We start from the raw sequence: 24270 nt of genomic DNA on the forward strand, positions 1-24270 counted from the left end.
AATGGTGAAATGATAGTTTTTCTTTGGTGGAGGAGCTGGTTATCTGTCTTCCAAAATGTCTTCTGGTGACTTGTATTAAGATCTTATTAAAATATCATTGTGTTCTTGCATTCACAGCAGAAGACTACTGTAAATTGCATTATATGAAACTGAATAATATCTATGGTTTAATTTAAAGTAGAAATAAAATCTAAATTCATACATTCGAGCTGTAGGGTTTCAAGATTTTAATTTGGTGAAATGCCGGAACAATTTCTTATATTTAATTTGAGGAGTATTACATGAGAAGTGCATCTTATCAAATTAGGAAAGAAACATATACTATTTACACAGTCTAATTATTAAAGCATGTTAAATTTCACAGTTAATATTCAGATATCTTTCTGTAAATGAGTTGCTGAGATTTATTGTCAATGTTGTTTGATTTGTAAAGTCCATTAAGTTGCAAATGCTGATTTGAGGAATGGTGGCAAGTTAGGATTTCAAAGTAGCCATGTTTTTTTCAGTAGGCTCTGTAAATCATTAATACTAAAAAGAAATAACCTGCAATGCTGTGTGCATTATAGGTAATATCAGAAACTTTTTTTTTTTTTTTGCAAAGCATAGCTGAAGTTTAATTCCCAGTGTGGAATGTATTAGTTTTTCGTATAGAGGTGAGATAGCCCACAATTGGCTGTTGAACTGGAGTGCCGTTGTCTGTCTTATAATTTTGGAGGAGAAAAAAAAATATGATTTTAATTTTTACATTCTTTGTTTTGAAAGATGATAAAAGTGTTTTCTACACATGTTTCCCGCTATCAGAAAAAAATCACTGTTAAGAGGATATTGCTGATGGAAACAATGTTTTCTCAAGTTCAGAATATTGCTAGGGAAATATGTAGATGTGGAAGGCTACCTTGTTAAGAAGTTGTGCAAGAAAAAAATCTTTAATTTTTATATTTTGATTTATAATTTAATTTTTATATTTTAATATTAAAATTCTAATATTTTTAGTGTACTTTGAAAATGTCCAATTTGTACATTTATATAATCCCTGGGTTTTATTTTTATTTTTAAAATTTTATTTATTTTTACTTCTTTTTAATATGAGGTCTTGCTCGGTCATCTAGGCTATAGTGCAGTGGTACAGTCATAGCTCACTGCAGCCTCAGACTTCTAGGCTCTAGCTATCCTCCCGCCTCTGCCTCTTGAGTATCTAGGGCTATAGGCCTGCGCCACCACACTTTGTAACACAGTTTTTATTTAATAGCAAAATTAGCAAGTATATTTAATATAGTTTCATATAATTTCACATTTTGAGATAAGTTTGAAATTATTATAAATTGTTTTTGTAGATACTATTAAATTCCTAAACTTCATGGAGGAATTATTCTACTGGATTTGGGCCTGAGTTGCAGATTTTGTTTCTGCAGTAATTATGGGCCTTTCTATTTCTTCATTTTTATAATGAGGAGACTCTGGTTTTAAAAACTCTTTCTTGAGGGGTTTAATGATGAAAATGATAAGGTATTGTATGTCAAACAATGATAAATTAAAACTTCCAGAAGAAGTAGTCATTTTTGTTTTCTGCCTTATAGATTGACACTCTTTAATATTTAAGTGTTTAATTAAAAAATAGTCTGGCATAGAAAAAAATCTTGAAAATCTCTATTTAGGAGGTCTCCGAGTTAGTTCCCAGTTTTTTTTTTTTAATTTAACTTTCTTACACCAACAAGCAAAGATGAAAGTTTCCAGTTTTAAAAAATTCTGTTTCACACGAGTTTCTGAATTCCATCCACTTTGCTTTATTCTTTCCACTATTCATGTTAGTTTCCGTAATTCAGTTCATTTATTCATGCCTGCCTCCCTTCCTCTCTCCTTCCCGTTTTTTCTCTCCTTCCTTCCTTCCTTCTTCCCTCCCTCCTTCCCTCCTTCCTTCCCTCCCCCCTCCCTCTTTCCTTCCCTCCCCCTCTTCCTGTCTCCCTCCTTCCCCCTACCTCTGTCCCTCTCTCCCTCCTATGTTTCTTATTGTCAAAAACATTTATTATGTGCTAGCTCTTTGTCAGGCACTATGCATGGGTTATACTCACTGGTAAGGTAGCACTGAAGTGATAGACATGAAAGCCATCTTTCATCATAACTGTGTTCAGTTAGCTCACCATCTTTTGAAAATGTTACATTGTGATAGGGATGAGCACTCTGTACTATGGACAAAAATGACACTGTACCCCTGATGTGTGGTGGAGGTTTAGGGAACCAGTCAGTTAGACAGTCAAGTGATGGACCCAACTGAGTCTTGGAAAAGGAACAGTAGTTAGCCAAGGGACAAGTGGCAGAGGAGATTCCAGGCAGAAGGAACAGTATAACTATACCAAGAAAGGTATAGAAGTGAGAGTAAGCTTCTATGACCCAAGAACATAAGAGCAAATTAAATAATATTTAAAAAAGAAAACCACGAAGTTAAAAAAGGATGGTCTTCCTCAAGTGTAGATATATTTGCTAAAAAATAAATATTTCAAAAATTTAAATATTTTCCAGAAAGTTTGTTAATATATTTGATGTGTTTTTTTAATTACCAGGATATTATACTAGTCATCAGAATCACAAAGTGATAAGCGAAAGTCATGGTCCATAAGGAGCACTTACTCTCTTAATTACATTACATAAATTCGTGACATTACTTGTGCATTTGTGTCATTTCTGTATCTTCTGAATCATTGTATTACTTGCAGTTTAAGCCTCAGTGCCTTGAACAAAGTATGTACCCAAAAAATTTTTTAGGCTTGGTTTGAAAAGATTTATCTTGAAGAAAGATAAACATAGAAAATTTCAATAAAAGACATTTTATTTATTCATTTATTTATAGACAAGGTCTTTCTCTTTGTTGTCCAGGCTGGAGTACAGTGGCCTGATCATAGCTCACTGTAGCGTGGAACTCCTGGGCTCAAGCGATCCTTCCATCTCAGCCTCCCAAGAAGCTGGAACTACAGGCACATGCCACCATGCCCAGCTATTTTTTTTAATTTTTTGTAGAGATGGAGTCTCTTAATTTGCCTAGACTGAACTTGAACTCCTGGGCTCAAGCCATCCTCCTGCCTTGGCTCCCCAAATTGCTGGGATTTACAGGCATGAGCCACTGCACCTGGCTGCAAAAGACATTTTAAAACTAGTTTAAAAGCTTAATTGAAGAGGACTCAAGATAACCCAATAGCAACTACTGTACAAATGACAACAGATAATGGCAGTAAGAATCTGGAGAGGGAGAGGTTATTTTTCAGTTTGAGGCAGTAAGGTTGGCTTTATGGCACAGGTGGTTTTTAAACTATCAAGTTTATTCTGAAGTTTATTAGGTGGAGGGGAAAGATGTTTTCTATGTGAATAAAAAATCTTGAGTAAAAGTCAGTTTCAGAGGTATATTCAGAAATATTGAGCAAGTAAGTTTGACAGAAACAGTGCTGAATTAAGTATTTTTGAAGTTTGATCTGTTTGGGCGCCGTTTCCAGTTTTGCTTTTTAATTCTCCTCTCTCTCTCTCTCTCTCTCTCTCTCTCTCTCTGTCTTTCAGATTTTCAATTACCATTCCCCTTTCATTCCAGCCCCAGTTGCAACTTTCTTGTTGTTAAAATACATACAATAGGGCTGGGCGCAGTGGCTCAAGCCTGTAACACCAGCAGTTTGGGAGGCCAAGGCGGGAGGATAACTTGAGGTCAGGAGTTCTAGACAAGCCTGGACAACTTAGAGTCCTGTTTCTATGAAATACTAAAAATCAAAAATAAAGAAATAAAAATTTTTTTTTGTTGTAGTGGGTATGTCTGTGGTCCCCACTCTCAGGAGGCTGATGTGGGAGGATTGCTTGAGTCAAGAGTTTAAGGCTGCATTGAGCTATGGTCGTGCCATTGCACTCTTAGCTGAGCAGCAGAGCAAGACGCTCTCTTTTTTTTGAGATGGAGTCTTGCTCTGTTGCCAGGCTGGAGTGCAGTGGCGCAATCTCATCTCACTGCAACCTCCACCTCCCAGGTTCAAGTGATTCCCCTGCCTCAGCCTCCCAAGTGGCTAAGATTGCAGGCATACGCCACCATGCCTAATTTTTTGTATTTTAGTAGAGACGGGATTTCACCATCTTGGCCAAGATGGTCTCGATCTCTCCTTACCTTGTGATCTGCCCATCTTGGCCTCCCAAAGTGCTGGGATTACAGGCATGAGTCACCGCACCTGGCCAGACCCTGTCTCCAAAAAAAAAAAAAAAAAAAAGACATACTAGATTTGTTGTGCTAAGTTAGAGTGAAATAATAATACATGTACTTTTGGAGACATTTTAGAAACATTTCTGAGATCAACCTTTGTCAAGTCAGAACCCCAACTGTGTTCTTCCATGTAAAATTATTTTTAGAGTTTGTTCCAGTTTTATACACATTTATGGTTTAGGGTGAAATTAGGAAGATTACTAGAGGCTGGCAAGATGGATGGAAGGTGATAAATCAGCTTTGAGATTTTTGCAGATGTTCAGAAAGAAAGATGTTAGGACAGAGGGATTGAAAGCAATGGGAAGAGGATTAAGGTATTTCAGGGTAAGAATCAATAGAACAGTGAATGTGTACCTCTTTAAAATGAAGTACCTTTTGTATTGACAGAGCTATATTTTACCCAAACTTAAGATGAATAATGCTCCAGAGGATTTTTGGTTTCAAAACTATTGGAGACTAGGCTAATTTCATTTGTTTGTGTGTGTATCCATGCATACATGCACATATATATTTAGTAAGCTTGGTTTAAAGAAAATCTGTTACTTCATAGTAGATGTGATTTTCTTTTACCATTTCACACTAATGCATTTCTTTGTTATTATAAGTTAGCAATTGAAGGTTATATGTATAATTCATGCTAAATTAGTATATTGGTCTAGAAGGTTTTTCAGGAGACTAATAATGGAGTAGAGGCTTCTTTAATACATATGACTATATAAAACATTATTAATATTAACAGATGTTGCACTTTAATCCCCTAGAATGACTGGTACCAGCAGGAGATTTATTAAGCCTGAATTGTGTGAAATTGTGTGTGCATAAGCTGCAACTTAGACTGTAAAAATGCTACTGAAAACTGTTAAAAAGATTTAGCTATAATTTGGCAGAGAAGTATTAACTGTGCTAAAAGAAGTATGTGTGTATGGTTGGCCCTTCGCCTTAACCTTTTTATCATTTATCTTCTTGTATTAATGTCACTGAATTATTAATTCATGAGCCAGGATGGGAAGGGTGAAGGCACCATTTAAATGTGTGGCAAATTTATCCTTATCGCCAGAGACATGAAAAAAGTCATTTTGTGTTATCTGTAAAATGGAAAGGACATTTTAAAATTTCATTTACAGTAATCCACTTCACTTCCAGTCAAACACCTAGATTATTACTACCATAATATAATGTTATTAAAAATTTGTAACCTTCTCCACTCTTTTGTCTTATATATATAATGTTGATAGAAAAATTTAGCCTTGATTTATTTCAGTGTGATACTTGTTAATTGTAGGTTAAAAATGTTACTTTTACGAATGATATGTTATAGTTTGACTTAAATTTTAAGGAACAGTAGACTTATGAAAAATAAAAAATATTTACTGTAATAATAACAATCAGGATATTTTCATTGAGGGGAGTCCGCATATAGGGAATTGGAAAGCTCTAAATATATGTTTCAAAGAAATGTTTGCATTTATTGTGACTTCATAATTATTTGGAATAAGATTGGTGATGTTGGCCTTGTGGAACTTTTAGCATTATACAAGAAACTTAGCAAATTAGAATTTAGCATTTACTTGTTGAATGTAATGTGGATCTGGGATATATCCAGTATTTCATATGGATAAGTAGCTATGGTGACAGGAATTTCAAGAGTTTGAAGCCACTTTTACCAGCAGCTCTTCGAAACCATCATGCTAATGGAAGAATACCTCAGGGGTCTTGTCCAAACCTCATCACTTTTCATTCTCCCGTTATTTACTATTTTGATTGGTTTTATATACTCTCATGCCAAACAAAGTAGTAAGATAAGTTACTGTGGTAATGTCCTTTGTTTTCTTTTCTAGAATTTCTCCCCGAACACTCTAAGGTATACATATGGCTCTGTTATACACACACTGAAAACACGAATTGTTTTTTTTGAGATAGAATCTCTCTTCGTCACCTGGGCTGGATTGCAGTGGTGCGATCTTGGCGCACTACACCCTCAGCCTCCCCACTTCAAGCATTTCTCTTGCCTCAGCCTCCAGGGTAGCTGGGATTACAGGTGGTGCCACCACGCCTGGCTAATTTTTGCATTTTTAGTAGAGATGGGATTTCACCAAGTTGTCCAGGCTGGTCTCGAACTCCTGACCTCAGCCAATCCACCGGCCTCGGACTCCCAAAGTGCTAGGATTACAGGTGTGAGCCACTGCACCTGGCCTGAAACTCTAATTTGTTTTGATCAGTAAATAATGCTACTTTGTTTTTCTTATTCTAGTATGGTTAATTTACCTTTACATTAACATTTAAATTAATTTCTTAAAATAATAGACTAAAGTTGATTTGATTATTTTGGCAGACATGAATAGTTATTAGTTCATTATGTGACTGAACTGCATCCAGTTATCTTGGTCTTAGGATTGTTCATCTATAAACAGGGGTTGGGCAAACTATGGCTAGCCATCAGTTTTGTAAGTAAAGTTGTATTGGCACACAGCCAATGTCATTTCGGTATGCATTGCCTGTGGCACCTTTCACACTACAGTGGCAGACATACATAGTTATGGCACAGACCATATCACTCTTAAAGCCTAAAATATTTTCTGTCTGGTCCTCCATAGAAAGAGTTACCTAACTTCTGATCTGACTGTCTCAATCTGCATAAAATGTTGGTTCTAATCCTTACAAATGTAGTGGAATATAATTGATAATTTTAAGCTCAAGAGATTGGAAAATTCAGTAGTTTTTATCATCATTGGAAATGTTTTTTTTTAAGCAGATTTTTGCTTTTCTTTATATGTGGAGTAGCAATAATAAGTGATATTTTTCCTGAAAGTTTTCTGAATTGAAACATTTTAAAAACCATTAAAATGTTGCAAAAATACATTAGTCTGTTACCACATGAAGGACTCTTGGCAAGTAATTCAAGCTTCTAGTCATTTTTCTCTGCTTTTTATAACCTATGTTTCTTTTTTATTAAATGTCACTGCTTTATTACTACTTTAATGTTATTTGAAATTTTAATAGGTTATAAAATTATATTTTAAAGTTGAAAAAGCTCTTTTCTAAAAACCACATACCTCTCCTACTCCATGTTTGAGTAGTTAAGAAGCACTAAAACATAAATTTTAATTTAATGGAAGACCTTTTGGTTTTTAATTTTTTCATACCTAACAGCCACTCAAAATGACACAGTCTGTTACTGTTTCTTAATAGGTGTGTCCATGAATATTTTTCTTACCGTCTCATCTAAATCTCCTCATATTTTTTTTTTTCATTTTTTTTGGGACGAAGTCTTGCTCTTGTTGCCTGGGCTAGAGTGCAGTGGCGCTATCTTGGCTCACTGCAACCTCCTCCTCCTGGGTTTAAGCAATTCTCCTGCCTCAGCCTCCCGAGTAGCTGGGATTACAGGCGCCTGCCACCATGCCTGGCTAATTTTTGTGTTTTTAGTAGAGACGGGGTTTCACCGCATTGGCCAAGCTGGTCTCGAACTCCTGACCTCAGGCAATCCACCTGCCTTGGCCTCCCAAAGTGCTGAGATTACAGGTGTGATACATCTCCTAATATTCTTAGAGGAATCAGCTACACCAAACACAGAGTTTCAGGCTGACATGGGAAGCCAAAGAATCTATTCTGTTCATTCACTTAGACTCTAGCTTTATCTTTAGTACTATTAATTAAGTTAATTATTTAGAAATAATTGGTATATTCCTTTTCTGTACAACTCAAGAAAATCCTTTTGTTTTGAGTTTTACTTGTAGACACAGATATAAATGGTATGGAACATTTGGCATAATCGGGACTAACCCCAGCTAAGGCATAGAAACTTGTTCTTTCTTAAAGAAGTCCCTGATGTTGTTTTGAATTTTCGTTATCTGTAGTTTTCCCAGGAAGGCAGAGTGTGAAATATGTGAGCTAAATGCTTCAGGTTATTATAATATTCCTGTCAATATAATAATCTATAAGTAGATTTCAAAAACAAAGATTTTCTGAAACAGTTGCTTCTTTTTAAGATATGAATTAGAATAATTGCCGAGACATATTTTGATAGAAGAGACAAGTCCTTAGTTAAACATATTGCAGAAGCCCCCAGATGGCTTCCTTAACATTACTTAAGGTAGAATCAGGACCATAAATTTATCATTGGGAAAATTGGAAAATGATTGAATCATAGATTTATAATCTCTTCCTACCCTTATATAGTTGCTGAACTTGAGACCTAGATGCTTGCTACTGCAGTCCTTGTAGGGGCAGGTTGAGCCACGATTCTATAGTGTGCACTTGATCTGGATCTTGACCTCTTCATTAAGATGACTGATTGATCTAGGTACACGTCTCAAGGAAACACAGATCCAGAAACTGCTGTTAGTTACTTCTCTTAGCTTCTCATCACATTTACTACCATTAAGTTTTGGGAGGTTTAGTAATTATTATTTAATGCTTATTTTGGATCTTGGTCATTTTCTTGCATATTTAATTCTCATAAGATTATTAATTTCTTGAAGGTGGCAGCTATATCTTAATCTGTTTTATAATGCCTTTAGAACCTAACACAGGACCAGTTAATACAGAAGGTAAAAAAAATTAATGAATAACACTCGTTTTAGCACTGGATATCCATTAAAAATGTGTAGGAAGTACTCACTGGATATTCATTGACTTGACTGGACATACATGAAAGTATAGTGCTAATGTGATCTACTTTATGTTAAAGGCAAGAAATGTAAGTTTAGATAACACTATATTGACATAGTTTGCAAATGAATTGTATCATTTAATTACAAAGGCAATGTGCTATAGCACTTCACAAAACTTCAGCTTCTTACTGTGTATTCTTTATAGTTAATTTTTCACATATATCTATATTTTATTTTATTTTTTTGAGATGGAGTCTCGCTCTGTCTCCTGGGCTGGAGTGCAGTGGCCTCATCTCTGCTCACTGCAACCTCCACCTTCCGGGTTCAAGCGATTCTCCTGCCTCAGCCTCCTGAGTAGCTGGGATTACAAGTGCCCGCCACCACGCCTGGCAAATTTTTGTATTTTAGTAGAGACGGGGTTTCGCCACATTGGCCAGGCTGGTCTCGAACTCCTGACCTCAGGTGATCCACCCGCCTCTGCCTCCCAAAGTGCTGGGATTACAGGCGTGAGCCACCGCGCCTGGCCAATTTTTCATATTTATTTTTAAGATCATTTGATGTATTTTACTCAGATTACCTCATTACCTCTAAGAAACCTCTGATGGTGATATTGATGATCTAATATATGACAGATCCTGGGTCATTATTATTTCATTTAGTGGTTGTATATATAGACCAAGAGGGAATTTGAATATTGATTCGGGGAATGGCCAGTAACGGTGATTTATGAACAAAGGATCCAGTGCAGTGAGCCAAACATAAGATTGCATCTTATGAGTGAGCCACGTTGAGTTTTTTCTGTTATACTTACCCGAATGATGATTAGTCCATAATCTTGTAGATGTTAATATTAAAACCTTTGTTCCATGACTATTAAAGATACATTGCTAGTTATATTGGAGGAAATATTTATGTATTTATTCTTTGGACTTACTATGAACAACTTCTCTAGTAGTTTGGTTGATAAAATTTATCAGTGTAATTAGTTATATAATTTAGGCACTTTAGTAATATAAATGAGTAAATTAGGATAGCTCAACTGGAAATAGTAAAAATTAAGTTAATATTTAGCTGTTATTACCTAAGGGATGTTTAGCTCATGTAAACATTTTAAAAATCAACTCGCTATTCTTTTGGTGTTTCCTCACTTTTGTATCTCAAGATGATTTTGTTCTGTATTCATTTTTTTATTCTAAAGGAAAAGATAGTAAAATAAGGTTATCTGGTCTACATAATTAGTAACAGTAGTGATTTTAGAACATGGGCTTATTTCTCAGCCCTTCTGCTTGCTTACTTTCCTTGAGTAGGTTAAGTTTTCTGCTTTTAAGATAAAATGGATATATTTCTTAAGGTTGTTGGGAAAATTGCATGGAAGAGTAAGCACACTGTTATCTACCTAGTTTAGCTGTAATTTTTTTGGGAGCCTAACTGTGTGCAAGGCAGTTACAGGTTTTTACTAGGACGAGTTATTTTTAAAGTACAGTGTAATCTCCCTGTGGATGAGAAATTTTGTTTCTTTTTTTCCTCAGTACACAACATATGTAATAGGTGCTCAGTAAATATTTGTTGAAGGAATAATTTGGTGAATAGTGGAAAGAATGGCTTTGTAGATAGCCTTGATTGGGATCTAAGCTCTGCTGCTTATTAGCTGAGTAATTTCAGTTGAGTTATTTTACCTCTCGGAGCCTCAGATTTCTGACCTTTATAATACTGATCTTGCTTTTTTGGTAAGGATTAGTGATATGTATCTTACAGTATTTCAGACAACACAGAAGTTAGCTTTTTCCCAATTTGAGGTAAATAAAAAGTTATTTTTAAATGGCAGTCCTCTCCAATTTTAAGACATTGTATTTCCTCCGAACTTTCTTTTCTTCTTTTTGATATGGAGTCTCACTGTGTCACCCAGGCTGGAGTGCAGCGGCACGATCTCGGCTCACTGCAACCTCCACCTCTCGGGTTCAAGCAATTCTCCTTCCTTAGCCTCCTGTGTAGCTGGGATTACAGGCATGCACCACCATGTCCAGCTAATTTTTTGTGTATTTTTAGTAGAGACGGGGTTTCACCATGTTGGTCAGGCTGGTCTCGAACTCCTGACCTCGTGATCCACCTGCCTTGGCCTCCCAAAGTTCTGGGATTACAGGAGTGAGCCACCTTGCCCGGCCTGAACTTTCTAATAGTCTAGAGTCCTCAGGCAGTTTTTTTGAATTGAATTACAAGTACCATGACTAGAAATATTTCCTGAGTGTCTACTATGTCTGCGAAACGAAGAAATTTTAGTAAAGGGTAAGACCAGTGATGAATATTAAGGGGACTTCTGTATAAATAGTTTAATTAATGTCCTCTAGACTTGATAGCAGTGCCTGCAGAAAGAAAATGAAGAAAGAGGGTGGTGACTAGTGGCTGGCCACGTGGTTTTAAAATCTCTGTGAGCATTGCCAGCCCCAGCCCTATCCATGTGAAGAAAAGAAAATAAACTCAAACCTCAAAGAATGCTGAATGTCTGAAGCTTCTAAGAAAGCCTTTCTGATTAGGGATAGCAAGGGTTTGCTTAGCTGACTTACTGAAGGAAAACTCCCAGGGGTAATGATGTGTTCTCTGATGTTAAGAAGGGGAAATCTAGTCTGTAAAGATTACACATAAAATATTTCTGAAAAGTGAATAACCTGATTGAGGTTCAGCTAAAGTGAAATAAAACTATAATTTATTTTTTCATTTTCTGAGCCTTTGCACAGAAAATGAAAAGGCAGAATTGGGTTAGTGTCATCCTTTTTTGTGTTTGTTTGTTTTGGTAAAATACAGAAAAGCGGCTCTTGTTAGTAAATTCTGTCTCATAATGATTATAATTTTATGATGCAAATAAGATCTGAGACTGATTTTGTAAAGCTAACTTCAGTTTTCATTTAGAGTTGACATGTATTTAGTACATAGAATTTAGGCTTACCTAAAACATTAATGTTTCATTTTACACAGCATTAGTGCATAATAACAAGGATGGGTGACTTTGGTAGTTCTCATGCTTAGCTGGCTCTTTTCTTTTCCTGTTCTCTTCATGTTATAACTGTTTTGGGCTTAATAGCCAGTGTTTGCAGTAGTTCACTGTCCATGAGTAGAAACCAAAAATAAAGCTTTAGATAGAACTCCTTATGGTGGCTTTGCTCCTGGTGGAATATCAACATTAGTTAACCAGTTTTAGAAAATTGTAGTTTAATTTTCTTTTGCCCTTATTAATTTGAAATGTGTTATACTCTCTTTCAGTGATGCTTATTAATAAACATTTTATTTTTTCTACATTTGTTAAATAAGCCTCATCACATAATAAGGCTAGGTGTGATTTCCTGGTAATGTAATGTAAATATGTGACTTAAAATTAGTTAGCGGTGTTGTCCTTTTAAGTAATTTTGCGGACAGTTTTAGGCGCGGGATATTTAATGCAGCTAATAAATGGAAGCAGGTTACTGTCTGAAAGACTGCAGCTGACTGTACATTGCACGTAGTGTATAAAACGTTGAGGGCTGTTGGGATATACACAGCTGAAGCATATTCCTGGAAGTTACTGCTCAGCTTTGGAAGGTTTGATAGTAATGATGCATTAACGGACTTTTTACATGACAGGGTAATAGGATACTTAGATCAAAAAAAATGACAGAGGTTTGGTAGACAATGGTTTGTGGTTTATAGGAACAAGATTAGGATGAAATTGTTTGAATCTTATTTGAAGGATAAGGAAAAAGCAGAGGTGGGAGTAGGTTGTACGTTAGAAGTGGTTTGGATTTTTGAAAGTCATAGTCATTTATAGTTTAAGTAGAAATCTGTTGTATCTTGTTTTACTAAGAAATGAACTATTACGTAGCAAGCATTACCAGGAGCTTCACCATGCACTACACCTCTACCCTCCCAGTTCCTCCCCCACTTCATCCTAAGCTCTTTGATGTTCTTGGAAAAAGGTTTTCTAAAAATCAAAAGAAAGTTATTAATGTGGGAATCATTTGAAGTAATCTTTTCTGTTTGTTGAAAGGAAATTTAATAGACCTTTTCTGGTTTTGTTATTTGTTTTTGTTTTGCTTTGTGAAATGCTGTTATTGAGCTTTTTGCAGTTACAGAATTTGAAGGACAAATGTTAGCTGTTATCTATGCCAGTGGTTTGGCTCCAATATGATTTAGAAGGAATGCCTTCTTGGGATTAGTGTCATGATATTTGATTATTTATTCGTTCTATTCTTAGCTGATTGTGGTTTGTTAGGTATTTCAACTTTCATTAACATTTGTTTAATGGAAGGTTGTTTAAAACTTGGGTCACAGCAGTAAAATCTTTTGATTTAGTTTCCAAATTGCACTTAAAGCTTGAGGTTTTGGAAATAATTTTATTTGATGTAAAAGCGATTGGGCACAGGTTGTAGAATGATAAAAATAAATTTGACTTTTTTTTTTACTTATTCATTACACAGGCAGATTGACTTAAGCTTTATTTTTGTAAAAGAAGCCATGATTTTATACATTCTAGAACCTGTTTCCATTTGTCAGAAACAACCACTTACATGGTCTCATAATTGAATGATATGTATTTTTAAAATTGTGTTTCACATTCTCAAACCTTCAGAATACACTGAATTTTTAGTATATAAAAATTTTCATAAGATATTCTTTCCTGGCCAAAGACCACAATAGAGGTCTTGATTGTGTGGTTTCCTCCTCCTTTTTCCCTTCACGAACAGAGGTTTTCCTATCTTGGCAGCTGTTTCCTACAAAGCAGTCATCAGTCCCTGATTTCTTCCTTCCTCCTCCTTCCCACAAACAAGGGCTCTTTGAATAGTGGATGACTGAAGACAGACTGATCTTGGATCACTTTAAGAAAGTGGAAACGTGTGCAAGAGTTGAGCATGTGGGCAAGCTGCCTGTAGGCACTAGCTCATTCAAATCAAACAATGAAAACTTGGACAGTAAAAATTCTTTGCTTGGAATCTAGAGTGGTCCAAAGGCTGACTTAATTTTACTTGCAGCACTTCATCCACGCGTTTACATTATTCTGATTGCTTGATCAGATCATCGAACAGACTGTAAGAATATAAGAAATTGTTCATTGATGGCCTTTTAAATGTGACAAGCCATGAGATTATCTGACTTTTTAAAATGCTTTATGTAGAATAACTTTCAGGTTTAAGGCAGGCACATTGCTACAGCAGTTGTAAACTGCAGGTTCACTTTTGGTTTTGGTTACCTTTGAATAGTCTATGGGAGCTCAGAGTGAAAAATGTACAGAGCCAGCCAGCTAGTTTTGCAGGGATGCGTGCCATGTGTCTCCATCAGATTAATTTTGGATACATCATTCTTTTTGAGGAAGTTTGCATTTTCCTTTGTTTCTTTGGACAGATAAGCATCTGAGGTGTTCTTAAATGGCATAATACTGATGTTGGTGATGCCTCCCTCTCCCCTGTGTCTTCAGTGCTTTCAGAGAGAGAGCTAAAACTTGGGCCAATTCTGGGTCATAGAGGGATCCTTAGGGAAGCATTTACATCTCTGAAACTGTGGGCCTGAATGATTTCAGATTAATTTCTTACATTATTTTTGTTGTGTTCTTAATAAAGCAAGATAGTACCTTTATAGGTAATAAGTGTTTCAAACCATTTAACATCTGCCTGCTTTTCCAATCAGGTTACATTATAATGAACTGATAGTAGAATGTAGTGTACTGCTAATAGCATCCCGTGTGATAAGCTACATGAAGCATGTAGTAAATGCACAGTAGGTCAGATAATGTGCAAGAACTCAAAAGTTATCAGGAAAATTTTGTTTTCTAAATTTTCTTTATGGTTTAGTGACAGCATCGAAATGATGTAATGAGTTTGTTTTACTGAGTTATGTATGCAACCTCAGAAAGGGAGGGAAGAGTTCCCTCCCTGCTGCACTTTGTAAAACTCTTTAGTTGCAGCAGGTTAAGGATAACTGGAGAAAACTTGGTGTAAGAGTATTATGTAGAATAAAATAATAGGAAACGAACATGAAGAAACTGTAAGATGTTCCTTTAACAGAAAAGTTTGTGATTTCCTTTCCCTCAGAGGCTAAATGAGGAGGCTGGATATATTTGGGAAATGCCTTCATTTTATGTGCATTATAAGGCTAATGTTTGCTGTGATTCCTCACACGACCTCAGAAAGAAGTAAAACACTTGGACAGAACCCAGCAAATGACCTGGTCTCATGTGATCCTAGAAGCCGAGAAATACTAAGTCATACTCCTGAAGTTTTTGTACACTCTGCAGTTTGGAGAACTGGATCCATAGGGGCTATGAATACCTAGCAGTCAGGGAAATAAGTTTGATTTGGTGATTAGGAATGTGGCATTTTCAGAATCCCTTTGTATATGGCATTATTTTGCCATGTACAAATTTTGGCAATTTGACTGTCAAAAAGGCAGTCAACCTTTTTGGGCTTTTGACTGTTTTCAGAATGTAAGATTCAGATATCCAGTGTATAGGAGCAGCTTCCATAGTGGACATAGAATCAAAATATGTTTTATATTCAGGAGAGAGAGAGAGGAACGGAGAGAGAGAATTGTTTTGTTATGTAGAAAGACCATAGAGTAAGTGATGGATTTGTTTGTTTTTCAGATATGAAGATCAATGATGCAGACTGATGGTTTTGATGAAGCTGGGCATTTATAACTAGATTCATTAAGGAATACAAAGAAAATACTTAAAGGGATCAATAATGGTGTCTTCTGGTTGCAGAATGCGAAGTCTGTGGTTTATCATTGTAATCAGCTTCTTACCAAATACAGAAGGTAAGATCCAGTTTACATTTTGTTTTTTAAATCCAGGAGAACTTGAACTATACAATCTTCTTAATATGGAAGTGCCTAGAATATTTGTTTATTATTTTAAAAATAGGTGTTAAAATTATTTCCTGAATATTGAATTGTTTATTAGGTGGTTGAGTTCTTTTGATAACACAGATATGATATAGAAAGTGCTAGATATGTGAATTTATATTTTACGTGCATTTATGAAATATAACCATTCTAAATAATCCCGAGGGAACTAAATGAAAGCTCTGTTTTGGTATACATTTTACATTTATTCACTACATTTATTTTAGTAAAGTGGAAAGTATTTTGTGGAAATTTTCATCTTTAGTTACATTTGCTTAAGTGTGTGCATAATTCTAAAACTCCTAAGTTAAAATATGTAGTCTTTTATGAAAACTTACATTTTAATAATAGTTCATCTTTTTATGTTGTTTATATCTTTAGCTGTATATGTGTGTGTATATGTATATTCTTTGTAATGTTAAATTTGCAGAAATATAACTATTTCTTTGTACTTAAAAATAGATGTGGAATTTTTCTTAAGCACTATTGCATTAAACATTTTTAAAATCTAGGAATAGTAATGAGTGTATTTTTCAAGACAGACCTGATTTTTAAAGAAATAAATATACTTTTGAAGCCTAATGAAATAATTGGAACCATCATTTATTAACTATATAGATTTCTGGAATCCATTGTTTTCTTAGTCTTAAATATTATTTCCACATGAAAACAACACACATGCAGGTGTTTTTTAGAGCAGGCTAGAAGTTAATATGGAGCTAAGATGTATAAATTTTATAGCTAGTTGATAGTGGCAGTTATTGGCACGAAAATGTATTAATCTTGTAAAGTTTGTGAAGGGTATAAAATCTCTGAGAAATGCATATAAATTATAATGGATTTTAAAAAATTCCAATTCTTGAAAAAATGTTTAAGAATTAAAAAATTGATTTTATATGTACTTTTAAGTGATCTCACTTATACCGATTATTAAAATGATAGGTGGAGAAGGGGCATACTGTCAACTAATAGAAGTGTATTATTCCGTTGTCTGTGTAATAAGCTTCAAAATGTTAACGTTTTAATTTTGCTGAAAGAATTTTACTTGAATTGCTTGTTCCAAAGTTATATTTTATCATGTTCTCCTTGTCCCTCCAGTCCCCTACGTTCAGTATATTGATATGATGTAATATAATTTAAATAAATAACAAATTTAGAAATACTTAAAATAAGAGTTTCTGTATTCAGAAAGTAAATAGTGTTCACTTGGATTTAAGTCACACTTGGCAGTTACAATCTTTGGGTTAATATTTTATTTTCAGATGACATTGCTCTTTGCTTTAGAATTGAAGATGCATCATATCTAACATCATATGTAATCTGTGTGAATGAATAATACTATCATAAACAGTGAACAGGAATTGTGTTTAATAATATAAATTTCTGGCTTGGATTGTTGTGAAAATCTTGTGTGTAGTCTGATGATTTTACATCTCGTTTTTGGGGAAGAAAACCTAACTGAATTCCTGCTGTTAGGTTTGAATGTTTTTATACATTTAAAAAAGATTCCAGGTGTGGACCAATGGCTCATTAGTCCACATAATGAAAAAATTTCTAATCAAGTTAGAGATCACTTTGCTTGCACAGTAGCTTAACTCAGTGGGGGGCTAGCAAACAGAGAGTTTTTTCATGAGATACTGCAGCTTTATTTTCAGTGTCATCTATCAGGTCAGGATTCATATCTGCTGTTAGGAGAAATTTCATTTTTGGCTCATCAGGCCAGGGGGTATTGCTTCTGAAGCACTTCCCTCCTACGGGTAAAAAGAACCTGGGACGAACCCATACTGCTAACTGCTAATTGTAAGAGTATACATAGTTAATACACACTGTTAGAACATTGATCTAGTATTGCATGGGTTTGTCTTAGAAAGTCTTACATGACATCATAGTCCTTTATTGCCAGAAAGCAGATAATGCTCTGTGAACATCTATAGAGAAAGCCAATCAACATTAGGTAAGAAGGCATAGGAAGGCAGATATGAATTTAACCTTCAGCTATTGAGTTTCTTTTGGGCCCTTACATGATTGTAACCTTTTAACATCTTACACAGTTTAGTTCTTTTTATACTTCTTTTTATACCAGTTTCTAGGTTCTTGCAGGTAAACTCAGATAAGTTTTCCTGAGTGATTTCTTCCCTTTTTCCTCATTTATTGAGTGATTAAATTGAGCTGCATGCTTAGGGTTCAAAAATACACAAGGAAAAATAATGCATAAGGCACGGTTCTTTTTTTGTTTATTTTATTTTTTATTTTCCCGTAAGTTATTTGGGCACAGGTGGTATTTGATTACATAAGTTCTTTAGTGGTGATTTTTGAGATTCTGGTGCACCCATCACCCGAGCAGTATACACTGCACCATATATGTTGTCTTTTATCCCTTGTCCCACTCCTACTGTTCCCCCCAAGTCCCCAGAATCCATTGTGTTATTCTTATGCCTTTGTGTCCTCATAGCTTAGCTCCTACATATCAGTGAGAACATGGGATGTTTGGTTTTCTCTTCCTGAGTTACTTCACTTAGAATAATAGTCTCCAGTCTCATCCAGGTCACTGCAAATGCTGTTAATTCATTCCTTTTTATGGCTGAGTAGTATTCCATCATATATATATATGTATTTTTTTCATCATATATATATATTTTCCATCATATATATATATATTTTCCATCATATATATATGTTTTCCATCATATATATATGTTTTCCATCATATATATATATATTTTCCATCATATATATATATTTTCCATCATATATATATATATTTTCCATCATATATATATGATGGAATATATATATATAATATATATATAAATACACACAACACACACATCACAGTTCCTTTATCCACTCGTTGATTGATGGGCATTTGGGTTGGTTCCACGATTTTGCAGTTGTGCTGCTGTAACCATGCATGAAGGCATGATTCTTACTCTTGAGAAGCTCATGGTCTTGTGCAGGGATTGAAACCTTAAATACTTGTTGGTGCCTTGAGAACATTCGACTTGAGGTCAGACAAGAAAGTGCTTGTCAGAGGACCTGTGATTACCATTCCAGTATTTAGCTTGGTTTTTCCAGTCTTCTGACTTTCAGTAGAAATCAAACATTAGGATTTTTAAGTAATGGCAACTAATTAAGATTTTGTTTAAAAAACAAGCGTGTATACCATAGAATAGCCATGGGTTATGCCTTTCCTTTTAGATCTTTTTTTTTCCTCCTGTTACAGTTGTATTTTACCTTGGTACATGATTTTAAAGGCTTCACATAATTTTGGATTTGCTTTACATCGGTACATAATGAGACATACATTTCCAAATTCATAAGGACTTACTCTGTGTTCAGGCAAACATTATAAATGTCATATTTTGTGTACACATACAGGGGCAAATCACTAAGCATTTTTAAAGTTTGAACATGGCAAAAGCTAATTATACAAAGGTTTAATTGTTATATCTATCTATCTCTATTTTGAATCAAGTCTTACCCATTAAAATTTACCTGTTTGTGTAAGAATCAAGTCTTACCCATTAAAGTTTACCTGTTTCTGTAAAATAGGATTAATATTTTACATATTCTCTAAGCCTTTCCTACAACGTATTTTGGGGAAAATTATATTTAGAATTTCCAAATAAAAATGATTTTATACAGACCAAACTTGCAAAATATTTTGTAAATATTTCTTATAATTGATTTTATTTCTAGAGAACTAATCTCAGATTCTTGAAAAGTCAGTTTTATCGAGAGACTGGTATGCTTTGATTCTTTTGGCCAGTTTTTATAAGCATAGTACCCACTGTGGAATCATGTATCAGTAAGTAGAAAGTAAATTGAATTTTTGTGTCCTAGAGAATTAAATTATGCTGTATAATGGAGCCTTGGCAAGCATAAGTTAGACACATGAAGGCTTGCTCAAGTGACAAGTTACAAATAATAGTACTTCTTCAGCAAATTCAGTAATGCAGATTTCAGGTTGAATCCTTTATGCAGTGAATATGTAATTAGATTTTATTAGTCAAAATTTTACTTAATTACCTCAAATTATATTGTTGCTTATCCTTATTTCAAAGAAAAATGTTCTGCCAGGTATAAATATGAGACATGCCAGAAACAGCTTTATGTATTTATTTTATATAAATCAAGAAAATATAACAGTTGTAGAAATAGTTTCTTGCCAGTTTTTACTGTACTTTTAAGTTCCCTAAGTACATTTTATAATGACTTGAGTTAATGTTCTCTCTCTAAAAAGTGTGTGTCTGTAGGGTCTTTTCAGTATTTGGGTAGAAGAAAAAAAGGCAGATTTAGGGGTTAAATATGAAATAGTGAAAACTGTTTCTGGCATATAGATATTTCCTTCAGAATGGTCTGAATTTGGTGGAATGATTAGTAACTTTATTCTCCAAGGTTAAATTTAAGAAAGATTAATGTAATTCAGACTACTGTGTTCATTCCTCCTTTTTTCTTTCATTCTTTGATTTACACACGCATATAACAAAATCTGTACATATATACACATATTTGTGTATATATGTGCACGCGCATACACGTGCACACACACACAACATGCAGTATGCTAGTTTCATAAGGGCAGGGATGTTTTGTTGTTGTTCACTGATGTCTTCAAGTGCCTGAACAATGCCTGGCTTATACTAAGCACTCAATCCATAGCTGTCACATAAATAGAATAAATCTTTGAAGAGGTTCATAGTCTGTATAATGAGGGAAAAGACAATGAGCAGTTGTAATAAGAGTGTGATAAGTGCCATAATAATGATATTCACAGAGGCATTGGGATGAGCGATAGTTGGATGGTTGCATGTGTGTTAGGAAATTCTTGTAGTTGGAAGTGATGATACGGCAGAATCACCTGGAAGATCTGCGGTGGGGCCCAAGCATTAGTTAACATTGCTGACAAATTGCAGGGTGATGCTGATGGTGTTGCTCAGCATCACACTATAAGAGCCACTGCGTATTCTATGTGCTTAGGGGTGGTTGTGGTGAGGGTAGGGGTGCATGGGTGTAGACATGGTACAACTTTTTCAAAAGTATTTTTGGAAAAAATGATGAGATGATTGATCATGATTCAGAAGTTAGTATCCAGTTGTTTCTTGGGAGTTAGTATCTGTTTCTTTGCAGATTGTTCTTTATTCCCCTGATTAGGCTTCTTGGGAATAATTTTAGTCTTCAGAAAAGGATTTTTTTTTTCTTTTAGCGCTTTTTTTTTTTTTTTTTTTTTTAAGATGGAGTCTCACTCTGTCTCCCAGGCCGGAATACAATGGGATGATCTCCGCTCACTGAAACCTCCACCTCCCGGGTTCAAGGGATTCTCCTGCCTCAGCCTCCCAAGTAGCTGGGATTACAGGCACCTGCCACCATGCCTGTCTAACTTTTTTATTTTTAGTAGAGACGGGGTTTCACCATATTGGCCAGGCTGGTCTCTGACTCTTGACCTTGTGATCCACCCACCTTGGCCTCCCAAAGGACTGGGATTATATGCATGAGACACCACACCCAGCCTTTTTTGCTCTTTTCAAGAGTATACTCAGAAAAAAATTTTGAAAAATTTACACCAAATTGGAAAAAAACGTATTTTTCCTCTTAGGGATAAATGCTCTGTTTAGTAGAGCTCTTAAAACTCTTGTTTCAATTTGTCTCTTTCACTCTAATACCCTGGTTCTTTTCTTGTTGAGAATAACTACATGGCCAATGCTGTGATAACACTGAATTGACTTACTGTGGGGATTTCAGATTTCCCAATCTAACAAAATTAACTACTTTTGTTCATTTCAGTATATTTGATTAGTTGAAGTCTAGGAGGTAAATTTTTAGCAAGGTACTTGGGGATTTGGCTGTAAACCTAATGGGAGTCACAACTCCCATTAAATTAATAGGAATTGTGTATTTGTGCCTGCTGCATAGCAAATGTAACTTTATTTTCTAAATTCACAAATTATGTAAATTAACACCCAGCTAAAGCAATGAATTTTTTAAAAATTACTATTATTATTTTTTGAGATGGTGTCTTGCTGTGTTGCTCAGGCTGGAGTGCAGTGGTGTGGTCTCAGCTCACTGCAACCTCGGCCTCCTGGGTTCAAACAATTCTCCTGCCTCAGCCTCCCAAGTAACTGGGACTACAGGCACCCACCACCACGCCTGGCTAATTTTTGTATTTTTAGTAGACACGGGGTTTCACCATATTGGTCAGGCTGGTCTCAAACTCCTGACCTTGTGATCTACTTGCCTTGGCCTCCCAAAGTGCTGGGATTACAGGCATGAACCACTGTGCCCGGCCAAAAAAATGATTTTATTTAAGAAAATACTTAACTGTATTGCTCTTAGGACACTTTAGATATTCTTTATTTTGTTTCATGAGAATATTGTAATTTGATTGCAGCAGCTTTCTTCTCCATAGGTAGCGATAATTCGGTTTTAAAAATATAAATCTTAATGCCTTTACAAATTGTATGATGTTGTTATCTTCTCTTGCAAAAATCAAATTATTATAATATTACTATCAGCATTCAAGATGAAGGTAAATATGTTACAAATGTGACTCAAAGTTGCCGAAAATAAAATTAAGCTTAATCGGATACACTGGCATCTTTTCAAAAGTAAATTTGAATTATACTTTGGTCATCTTATATACCAATATTTAGTGTCAGAATATGCCATGTTTCATAAATGAAGATAAAGTTCAAGTGCTTGATTGTCGATTTTTTTTTCTTCCCACTTTTCCTCATGCTTTCTTCTTGATTCCATCCTCTTTTGCCTCTTTTTCATTTGTGGAAAAACTTTGTTTATCCACAGTCTTCGTTGATTCACCAGTAGGTCTGTTGTTGGCGGAAAAAGTATTGCAAACGTGTATGTCATTCACAACAGTCACCCAGCAGACCTCAAAAACATTATATTGCGTGGCTGTTTAATTTCGGTAAACCTCCATTTTCTGACAGAAAAGACCATATCAAATATTTAGTAAATAAATTTGTTTTTAAATAATAATTTGCTAAAAGTAAAAAGGTTATTAGCTCATGCATACTAGAGTAAATTTTAGAAATACCGATTTTACATGCATATTAGGCATTTACACAGTTATTTTTATAGTTTGAAAGAACCAATAGTGTATTACAGGGAGTTTAATTAAAAGCACAGGAGGCATTTAAAGCACCTTAATTTTGTGGAACTGTGATTCTGTTAATTTCTCATTACTCATTAATTTCAGCATTGAAGCTCTTCATTTTTTGAATTAATACACTTTAATTTTTTAATATACGATAGCTTGTGATATTAGAGAATAAGATAAGTGATTGAACACATCTGAAGACCACATCAGAAGACTATTGTAGAACATGCTGTGTCTCAAAAAACTGATTTATCTGCCATATTACTAAGGGAGTGTCTTACTAAAACTTGATACCCCATGGTACTCTATTTTCTTTTCCCCTCCTCTGCAAGACAAAGAATGACATATGACAGCCATGCAAGCTACACATATTAGACATCAATTTGGATTAGTGAGTATCTCATGGCATCTTTCAACCCTATTCCTGAACTCCTTTTGTCAACTTGACAGAAGTGATTCCAGGAGAATACCTAGTCCCAGCCTCGGGATCTCCTGGCTAAAATGTAAAGCTGAGAAGGGAATACGTATCAGCACTTCAGGAAGCAGAAACAACATTTATAATCTCTTCTTATCAGCATGGGACTCTCCTGAGTTTGACTTTTATGTCTGCCATAATTCTTGCTTTGAGGGCTTATTTTTCTTAAAAGTGTTTTTTTTCTTCTGATTTTGAATGTATATATCTTCATGAGAAAAGAGAAAATTAAAAAAATTAAGATAAAACTTTTAGAAGGTTCATAATTCTGTGACTTTCTTATGCGGCAGCACATTTCTTTTCTGTTTTTCCACCTATACACATACTTCATATGGATAAAGCCAAATTATGTATAAATACAAAATTAGGTTATTCATCTACATATACTCTTATATTCATATTTTCACTTTTAATTATCAGAAACAGTATTACTATGCCATTACATATTTAGATAATGAATGCTAACAGATGCATAGTAATTTATTTAATTATACAAATTTAATACAAATTATTTAATCCTCCTTTTCTACTTGCCAGCCATTTGTACTTAATTTCTTTCAAGTATAAGTAAAATACATATCTATATAATTATTTTTCCTTCACAACTGGTTATTTCCCGAGGATAGAATTCTATAATTCTGATAATTGTACTGGAGATATAGACATCTTTCAAATTGGCTTTTTTGAAGAGTTAAACCTATGTGCACACATTGATGACCAGTATATAAATCCATGCACTTTACCAGCAATGATCTGAAATTTTAAAAAGATTTAACACTTTGATTTGTAAAAAAGGGTATCTGATTATAAATTAAATTTGTAATTTGGGGGATACTTCTGGGGACAAAAACATTTTTTGTAGATTTATTTATTGGTTAGTTGTCATTTTGATATGAACTTTTTGTACACTGCTTTTGCCAGCTTTTCTGTTTGTATTGCTAATACTTTTCTTATTTTTTTTTTTACAATTTATTGATAATCCCCTTTT

The 24270-nt window shown here is 34.7% G+C and overlaps 1 protein-coding gene across 64 annotated transcripts in view; it reads left to right on the plus strand.

Annotated features, from left to right (window-relative positions):
* Nucleotides 1-24270, plus strand: part of ADGRL2 (adhesion G protein-coupled receptor L2) — a 687801-nt gene that overhangs the window by 515317 nt on the left and 148214 nt on the right. For all 64 annotated transcript variants that reach the window (NR_171658.1, XM_047416152.1, XM_047416118.1 and 61 more), the window contains one exon: nt 15437-15609. Coding sequence is in view for 63 of the 64 variants with exons in the window: in XM_047416152.1 (XP_047272108.1) it covers nt 15537-15609 (73 nt within the window). In the remaining variant the exon portion in view is untranslated. The remainder of the gene's footprint in view (nt 1-15436; nt 15610-24270) is intronic.

The sequence above is a fragment of the Homo sapiens genome, chromosome 1 (genome assembly GCF_000001405.40).
Source record: "Homo sapiens chromosome 1, GRCh38.p14 Primary Assembly".
In the NCBI taxonomy this organism is placed as follows: domain Eukaryota; kingdom Metazoa; phylum Chordata; class Mammalia; order Primates; family Hominidae; genus Homo; species Homo sapiens.